Below are 9478 nucleotides of genomic sequence, written 5' to 3' on the forward strand. Positions count from 1 at the left end.
ATACGTGTTTTCTCCCTGAGAAATATTCCAGGCTTCTTGCACTTAGGAGCACTATGTAGCACTTGAGCCCTACAATTGGGTGTCATTTTAAACAGCAAAATTATGAATGAATGGCACAAAAATATGAGACAACATGGCACTAAATAGACCATAGAAGGGACACTTGTTTAAAGTCTGAGAGCTGAAACAAGAAGGCAGAGTGTTGCCCTGTTCAACCTCAGCTGGGAACATGCACATTGGGTGACTCAAAATTTGTTGCTCTGCGCATGCCTATGAGTGACCCTGAAAGCACTTGAGTGTTGATTTTGGGATTACAGAAAAATTTTATCAAGTAGATGAATTCACAAATAGGAAATATGTAATAATGCGATCAACTATATTTTGATGAGGCAGGCTGTAGCCAGCCATTAACAAGATTTCAGCAGTGGAACAATGCAATGAGCTATATTTAGGAAGCCAGCTTGGTAATCCATTCACTCAATTATCAATCGTTTAAAGAAAACTCACTGTGTATTAGAAGTTGCACAGACTGCTTGGAATGCAAATGAATAAATATGGTGCCTGCCCTTAAGGAAATCACAGGTAAGAAGACTCAGTCTAAGGGAGAAGCCTGGGCTGGCAATGGGGAGGATGAGGGTATCAAAAGTCTTATTGCCAGAATAATTCTTAAGGTGATGAGGACCTGGTATTGCAAAGTGACTGTGGGAGTGAGGAGGGGGGGCAAACAAAAAGAGCATTAACTGGCTTATATTTTTGCTTGAATATTACAGTGAGGAAGAACAACTCCCATACATTTCATATTTAAGGCTGAGGAAGGGTATGCAAAAAAAAAAAAAGAAACTTAAAAAAAAAGAGAAAGGGATGAAGGTATGTGCTTCTGCTCCAGTGAAAGAACATGGCTTCCTCAAAGTGGGAGGCTTGTGAAGGGAAGTCATCAGGACTGCTGTTTGCTTCAACTGTCATTATTTTTAAATTGAGAATGATGAAAATTTCATTATGTAAAATTAAGAATGAAATAAATCAAAACCAAAAGACTAGATTTACTGCTGCCAGTGGAACACACAAGTTTTCCAGATTCCAGATATCTTATTGTTTCTATTTAAATCAGCTCTGAAAAATCTAGTAACAAAAATCTATTAACATCGTCCATCTACAATAACCCAAGTTCAGCAGCAAAGTGCTTAACTGTTAACCTTTTCTTGGTAGATGCATGTTGCTTTAATTGTTTTCTATTTTCTGATTTTTGGGAAAATATTTTCTCTTGTATTTAGAGAAATAAGTATATAATATCTGGATTTATTAATTAATAACATTCTCCTTATACTGCTTTGGGGCAGCTTTGGAAGAAGTTTATAGTTCTGGGGTAACAGATCCCAAACTGGGTTTCATTTTTTTCATCTAGAGTTTGATAACCAAGATCGGATAACATCTGCCCCAAAGAGCTTCTCCTTTTCCTAGGCAGGCTCATGAGTTGGCTGGGTTTTCATTTTGACTCAAGTAAATTCACCAAATAATAATCTGCTCTCTGAGTGCCAGGCACTGTGCTGGGCCTGGGGATGAGAAAGATAGAAACATTCTTATTGCCAAAGAATTAGCAATTATCAAAGGCTAAGGGAGTCTTCAGGCATTAAATTTTGCTTAGTGCTTTACCTTGCAGACATTAACCTCTCATTGCCAAAGTGAAAGGTGAAAGGAATAGAAATGTGAATGGTAGAGCAAGAAGAGACCATCTGCTTGGCCAAGGCTCTGCTTTCGGACGCTTCTAAGCACCTCTTAAACTCATTGGGTAACGAAGACTTTCAAAATCCAACCTTTATAATGAGAAAGAAAGCACATTCTGGAAGAAATGTGAATCAAGGCAAATACCTTCACTGAAAACATTTTCCCACTTCTCTCATTTGCTTTTTTTCTTCTCCAAAATGCCTATCCCATGAAAATACTCCTTCTCTACTCCATACCATGAACAGTTTCTTGTTAGGAAATAAACAGCAAACAAACTCAATGCATTGACAGGGTATTATTGGTAATACAGGTGCACATGCAGAAGCATAAAAATAATAAGACATTTCAGGCTGCCTTGAGGGTTGCTATTCAGGAAAGAGTTTGATAAGGGAGTGTTTCACACAGCATTCTACTTGCAGATGCATGCTGAGGGTTATCTTGTCCTTGTTAACCTGGAGAATAAATTCTCATACCCTCCCTTAGCTTTTATTACCAGAAAACATGGTCTTTGTTTTAATAAATGTCTGTGACTCTAAAGGATTATTCTAGTAAGGTCACAATACCAATGTGTTTTGAAGGCCACAACACCAAAATTCTATAAATGCAATATTGTGAGGGCTGTTGAGAAATGAGGATAATAGGCTGATTTAGTCATATGCCTCTTCATGTAATTGCTGAAAGCAATACGAAATCATTTGGTTGCATCTGTGGGATATGATGGGACCTGTTTGCTGCAGGAAAGGGAAGGCAGCTGCCTGTGGGTGTGGCATGAGGAAGGAAGGAGCTGCCCACTCTAATGATGAGTCTTTCTGGTCGCAAAGTCTCATCCTTCCAGTCCTAAGAGCAGAACACTAGAGAAAAGTAATTGCCTCTTGAAGGACTAGTTAAAACAGAAATTCCCTACTTTGTGGAACTGCTATAATTGTAAAAGATTGTTGCATGTATGAAATGAGATAATCCATGTAATGTGCATTGTTTAATTGTGTATATATTAGCTGCTGCTATTACTTTTATCATTGTTATCATTCAGAAGCTCTTGCACTGACTACCAGGGTCTAAAGAATTTGTTGGTCAAACCTCACCTCCTCTAAGTGATGATTCTTTGTTTTGACTGAGCCCAATGGCACTGGTACAAGTCACTTGCTAACACAGGGGTGCAGCTGTGTTCAAATGAGTCATGTGGATGTCCTGTATTTCACTTTTGATGATTAGATGGAGAAAAATTAACACGGAATAATATAAAGTCTAATAAGTCATACTCCACTTCTGAGAAATGTGTTTTGGTTAACAAACTCTTTTCTAAGGTATAAATAAACTGGGTTTCATTTTTCTCATCTAGAGTTTGATAACCAAGATCGGATAAGGCATGAAGATGTGTTGATGCCTAGAGTGTGTAGGAAGGGGAATCTTGCACTTGGGACCATTGATGAAAGGCCGACTTTGTTTGGAGGAATGGCCTGGTGGAGTGCCAGCCCCTGGGTGCCTGCAGGACCAGGCCGGTAAGAAGGAGGTAGGAAGGTGAGGGAGCGTACTTTGCCGAGGGCGGGTGAATGGCTGATGTGGCACTGAAATTCCCCAGCAGGCTGCCTGTAGCTGGCTATGGGATAGGTTGCCAGTGCCTGGGGTGAGATGTCAAGGCTAGTTTGGAAAGCTGCAATTTAAAAATGTATTGTATTTTTGGCCAGCTCAATGTCTTCTAATCCAGCTTCTGCAGTTTATTCCAGTTCAGCAGTCTCTCTCCTCTCAGTCTTGACTTCTTTTTCTGAAGTTAAAATAGAAAAGAAAAATAGAAACCATGAGAAAAGAGAAGAGCATTTTCCTCCTTTTCCTGGTGGAAAAGTGGATCAGGTTTCTAGGTCTCTTATCTCTCTACTTTTTTCATCTTTATTATGTACACAAGCCAGGGCTTTTAAAGCCTATGCCTAGAAATGCTTAGGGCCTTTTGTATTTTTTTTTTTCAAATTGATCTCTTATGAAGAAGTGCCACCCCTCCCCTAACTGCTAATAGAATTAGTATACTTAAAAATTAATATTCTAGCCTCTTCTAAATACAGAAGTGAAGATAGCAAATTATCTTCGTATTACGTTTTTATACTTACGTGAAAAATCGTAAGTTCCCTTTAGTTATGTAAACAAAGGAGTCTGTTATGTTGAGGAAAGGATCCCAGCAGTCTTTGAATTTTATAAAGACAGCCTTTCTCTGTATTTCCTTGGTATGCAGTTCTCTTAGGAGAACTAGTTGGGATTAATGGACAAATCAGGAAAATAAAATAGACATGATGTGTTTGTACCTCAGACTGGTGAAGTGTGTCAGACCAGTTATATTCCCAAGGGGATTATGAAAGTTTTTCTTAGGGCACCTGAATAGGTACTTGGATGAAAACCAAGGAAATGCAACAGATTGTTGATGCCAGGTTCTCAGTGGGCATTCCTGTAGACAACTGAGAAGTGTAACTGGTCAGGAGAGCATATCCAGAGTGTTTTTGTCAACTTGGAGAGAGAGATCAGGTTAATTCTTATTAAATATCTAACATATAGAAGGCATGCTCATCTCATGAGGGCATTCCTCACCTCACAATGCCCCCTTTCCCAGCCCTTCTCTTACCTGTACCCTAACACTTGTGATTTCCACATAAACAGGCGCTTTGTCTGTCTTGTTCACTGTTGAATCCCCAGTGCTTAGAACAATGTCCAGCCCCCAGGAAGTACTCAATAAATTACCCATTTTAAATTAATAAATGAATTAGCTTAAACTGGGAAAAATATTGAAGTTGTTGAATGACAGACTTAGGACCTTAAAGAGATCTACTAGAATTATAAGTTGAATCTACCATGATAAAATGTAATGGGGAAAAAATGAAAAACCCCACCCTTAGGTCAAAAATCAACTATACAATGTCCCAGATGAAGAGAAACAACTTGGCAATATCTTACGTGAAAATTTGTTCGACAGTAAACACAACATAAATCAGCAATGTGCTATGATTGGGATAAAAATTTAATATGATTGTAGGCCATGTTAATTTAGATATAATATCTAGAATAGAGAAGGTAATAGCACTTGTTTATGTTGATATCAGGTGGTACTTGGAGTAGTATATTCTATTCTTCTATAGTGGTTACTAAACTCAAAAAAAGATATAAGAAATTAAGAGTGTGTTTAATGGAGACTAGTCAAGGCTATGAGGGAACTCAGAAAGTGCAGGATAATTGGTAACATTGAGGACAGTTTTAGGCAGCCCAAGAGAAGGTTCAGTGAGCTTCAACCTCCATGTATCTGAGGAGGAGCTATTCTTTGGAAGAAGTATCATATTTGTTCTTTGTGTTTTCAGGGGCCAAACCTAGGGCAAATGTGTGGAGATTTCAGGAAGACACATGTTATCTCATCAAAAAGAAAGAGTTCTTGGTTGTCTGAGCTGCACTGAGCCTCATGGAGAGTAAGTCTTCTGCTTCTGGAAGTTTTCAAACAGGTTGCAAAAGACTGCAGGCTCAAGTATCCAGCTGAACTTGAGGATGTGTAAGATATATTCAGTAGAGATAAGTTGTGTCGGCAGATGGGGGCTGCTAGGAGAAAGCACATTTTCACTGATTTCAGGGCCAGCCCAACATTAGAATTCTTTCTCATGAACCGCACTGCTGGGATACAATTTAAGAGTATTCTCATTTACCTGGTCTGGCTCTGTGAAACCTGCGTAATGTAACTCAGATCACCTGGAATTTGTAAGGAGGTGCAATTATTCATTTAACAACTATTTATTGAGCACTGGCTCTGTGTACTGAAGTACTTGCTAGAGGTTGAGGTAGAATAATAAACAAGATTCATTTCCTGTCCTTAGGAACCTTAAAGGTATAGTGCCCACAGGACCTCTGCTCTAAAGACTAATATTTCAGCTTGGAGGCTCCATTCTCAGACTTGACTGAGCATTTGGTTCACTGCCTTGTATAATTTGTGTGCTTATTGGTTCTCCACATGGACTAGCATTTCCTTGAATTCAGGGATTATTTCTCATTGTTTAACTTTAGCACAATCTCAAAGCACAGTGGTTGGCATAATAGCTGGTATTCAATAAATGTTTGTATAAACAAAACAAACTATACAGATCACTGCCCTGCAAATGAGTTGAGAACAAGAATATATCCTAGGAAAGTTCGGTGGAGGGACAGTGTCTTAAAAAACTGAAGGAATCATTAAAAAGTCTTCTAGGCCTTGGGGATGGGGGCAAGAATGGGGTGGGGATTGGGTGGGAGTTGACAAATCCAGATTGGCTCCAAGGATGATGAAATCTGGGCCACAGAACCACTAGACAGGCCATGACAACAGCCTGGGTTATGGGAAATGGGTAATGTTGGTCTTTACTAAGGGGTCGCACCAGCCTTGGGAATCACTTAGTGTAACATATCATTCAGTACCAAATCACACATAGAAGAATGTGTTATGGAAATGTCAGAACTTCCAGTTGAGTCATTTAGAGAGAGGAAGAGGAGCAAGTAGTTTCAGAGAGGTCTGAAGCTTGGTTTTAAGTTAGGGAAGTGCTTTTCTTATTGCAGGGAATGTGGCTGGGCTCAGAGGGTCAATTCAGACCAAAAGGGGAGTCTACTAGCTCAAAGATGTGAGGTTAATTCTAATAAGCAGCATTTGGAAGAAGCTGAAGATCCTACAGGATCTGGAAGCCAGGTCTCCCTTGGACAAAGGGTCTGCTCAATGTAGTCTAGCATTCAAAATAGACAAGATTGTGGCAAGAAGAAACCAGAACTGACTGCCAAGCTGAGCCAGCCAGGTTGATCCAGGTGGACACTTACATTTGAATAAACAACATATGTTTTCATCTTAATCAATTTTTACATTTTGAATTTTATTTTATTTTCTCACATTTGTAAACATTCATTTTTCACAATTCCAGACTTAGTGAGTCTTTTTATGAGAGTGTGTGGGGCTAGGAGTGTGATCTCTGGGCTATGGAGACACATTTTTATGTCTGACATTTAGATCTGTCACTTATTTGCTGGGTGTCCCTGAGCAAGTTTCTTCACCTTCCTAAGCTTTAATTTCCTTGTTGTAAAGTAAGGGTGATGATAGTACTTACCTCATAGATTTCTTGAGAAAATTAAAAAATGTCTGTAAAGTCTTAACATAGCATTTGAGTTCCATAAATGTCAACTCTGTGGTTATTGATGTTACTACGGTGAAGAGGCAAGAGGGCACTGTGACGATTGCTGCCTCCAAGCTGAAAGAAAGACGATCCTCATATTTGAGAAGGAAGAAGAGATAAGAAATTCTGCTTTGGGCATGTTGAGTTTAACGAGTCAGTGGGAAATCCAGGTTGCATAAGGGTCCAGAAGTCAGGAACGGATAGGGCTAAATATTTGAATATATGCATCAAAATGCAGAGGTGGTGGGTAAAATAAAATAGAAAGGGAGAGGGGTCTGGCTTCTATATTCAAGGGTTATCAGAAGAGAGTGACTAACGAGGAGATCAGAAGGAACAGCTAGAAATAGATGAAAACCAGGATAAAGGCATGTTGAGAAAGTCAAAGGACGGATGTTTGATTATGGAAGAAGTGGCCAAGGAAGATAAAAGTAAGACAAGACTGGAGGTGGCCTTAGATTTAGCAATGATTGTACCACTTGTTTCTTTTATTAGGGCAGACAAGGGAGCAGTCATAGCAAAAATCAAACTGCTGTAGATTGAAAAATAAAGGAAAGGTAAAATATTCATAATATATGAAGAAAAAAGTCAAATTAAAAATCACATGTCTGGCTGGGTGCAGTGGCCCATGCCTGTAATTCCAGCACTTTGGGAGGTTAAAGTGGGAGGATTGCTTGGGCCCAGGAGTTTGAGACCAGCCTGAGCAACATGGTGAAACTCCACTTCTACAATAAAAATGAAAATGAAAATTAGCCAGATGTGGTGGTTCGCCCCTATAGTCCCACCTACTCTGGAGGCAGATGTGGGAGGATTGCTTGAGCCCCACTGTGATGAGCCATGATAGCAACACTGCCCTCTACCCTGGGCAACAGAGTGAGACCCCATCTCAGAAAAAATCATTTGCCTGTTATAACCCATTGTTATTAAACAATGAAGTTAAAAAAAGAAATATTTACATGGGGGATGGTATTTAAAGCATAATTATTTCTTTTCTAATATCACTTGCTGACTTCTTGTAAAGTCTGGAGGGCTAAGCTTCCCCTAGACTATTATTTTCACTTCTGTGCTGCTTCTACCTGCTTTGGACTTTCAGATCTTGCCTCTGGTGTCCTCTCTGCTCTATACTTGATGGCTGAACTCTGCTTCCGGAGTCTGCTTTTTGGTGCTCTCCAAAGACTGAACAATTACACAGCTCTTGCTCTTCCTGCTTCAGGCTGCTTCAGAAATGTACTCCACCCATCCCACTTGACCCCTGGGACACAGATTCCAGCATAAGAATGTGCCTGTGCCAGCCTGTCCCAGGAGGCAGGTGCACTGCTCTTAGGAGTTATATGATGAAAATATGTATGTTTCTGTGGAAGTATTGCTCATTAGCAAATCAAAGCCCCAGCAAAATTGGTTACTGTAGGAGATAATGTTCCCACAAAATCACTTCCCACTTTTCCATGCTGAGTCACGTCCTGGTTTCATTTTCTCAAGCAGGTAACAACTCCTGTCAATGACACAGAAAATTTTTTTCTTAAATCACTGATTGGAGAGTTTTATACACTTGAAGACAAGTTACGTTTTAAAGCTCAGTCATGGGAGAAGAAGGAAGCCAGGAGTTGATGGGAATAAACGTTTCCACTCACCTCAAACCTTCACAGCACTGCCACTGGTTCATGTGACTTTGGATGAATGCCCAGGCTTTCATTCTGTCATGTGTAAAAGGGAATTGTGATGCCAACCTTACCTGTTGTGAGAAACCCACGTGTTAATGGTTCAAAGGGCTATTAGAGCTGATTGTCCTTAGTAAACCTTCTTCAATTCGACCTCATTTTACTCCCAGAAAGTATCTCACCTTTTTCCTGACAGAGAAGCTCATCCTATGAAAGGGAAATGTTTAAGAAAATATAACCATTTAGTATGAATTGTAATCTCCAACTCAAAATGTTTCTTTACTGTTAGCCTTCCTCTGCTCTTGTGTGATGCTTAGGCCAGCCTGCTGCTACCTTGTCTCGGATTCTGGGAGGTATAATATTTTTGAAAGACTATCCTATGGTTTTTTTTTTTTCCCCATGGCACTTTCTCCTCTTTGTCTCTTACTTGCCTCCATATAAATAACTAGCCCATATGTATTGCCTCAGGAGAGGGAAAAAGCTTTGTTGGGGCTTTTGTTTCTTCATGAGGGCTTAGAACAGGAGTGAGACCAAGACAGAAGCGGCTTGGAAACTAGGGAGGAAAACTTTTCACCCATGGCCTCCCCCACCAGGAAGGATTCCTTGGGCTATCAGAATAAGAAATAAATGAGAAAAGGCAAGGAAGCTTGGGGGGGTTCCTGGAAAAGGTCCTGTGCCAAGCTGGAGGCTTTGACAATAGCTCTAGATAGCTTGGGGGATCTGAGAGGAGAGACAGCCTATACCTCATTTCTCTTCAGAGCAGCTGGTGAGAGAAGGGAAAACAGCTCTGCCATGTGGCTCTAACCAGATGGGATGTTAGACGGCTCCTAGAGTTTCTCACACCGTATTATCATGAGGGAGCAGCAAATGACATCTTTGCAACCAAGAATGGTGGAGAAGGAGTTCCTGAAGGGACCGTGCAGGTGGAAACCAAGGACATTTTTTCAGGTG

The 9478-nt window shown here is 40.1% G+C and overlaps 1 annotated feature.

The window, feature by feature from the left end:
- Window positions 7416–8615: an enhancer, noted in NCBI's record as "MED14-independent group 3 enhancer chr3:101913549-101914748 (GRCh37/hg19 assembly coordinates)". NCBI's record gives its function as "activates an origin of replication core promoter dependent on BRD2, BRD4, P300/CBP and CDK7 cofactors, and independent of MED14, by STARR-seq in HCT116 cells {active_cell/tissue: HCT116}" and the evidence as "EXISTENCE:reporter gene assay evidence [ECO:0000049][PMID:35650434]".

The sequence above is a fragment of the Homo sapiens genome, chromosome 3 (assembly GCF_000001405.40).
Source record: "Homo sapiens chromosome 3, GRCh38.p14 Primary Assembly".
NCBI lineage: Eukaryota > Metazoa > Chordata > Mammalia > Primates > Hominidae > Homo > Homo sapiens.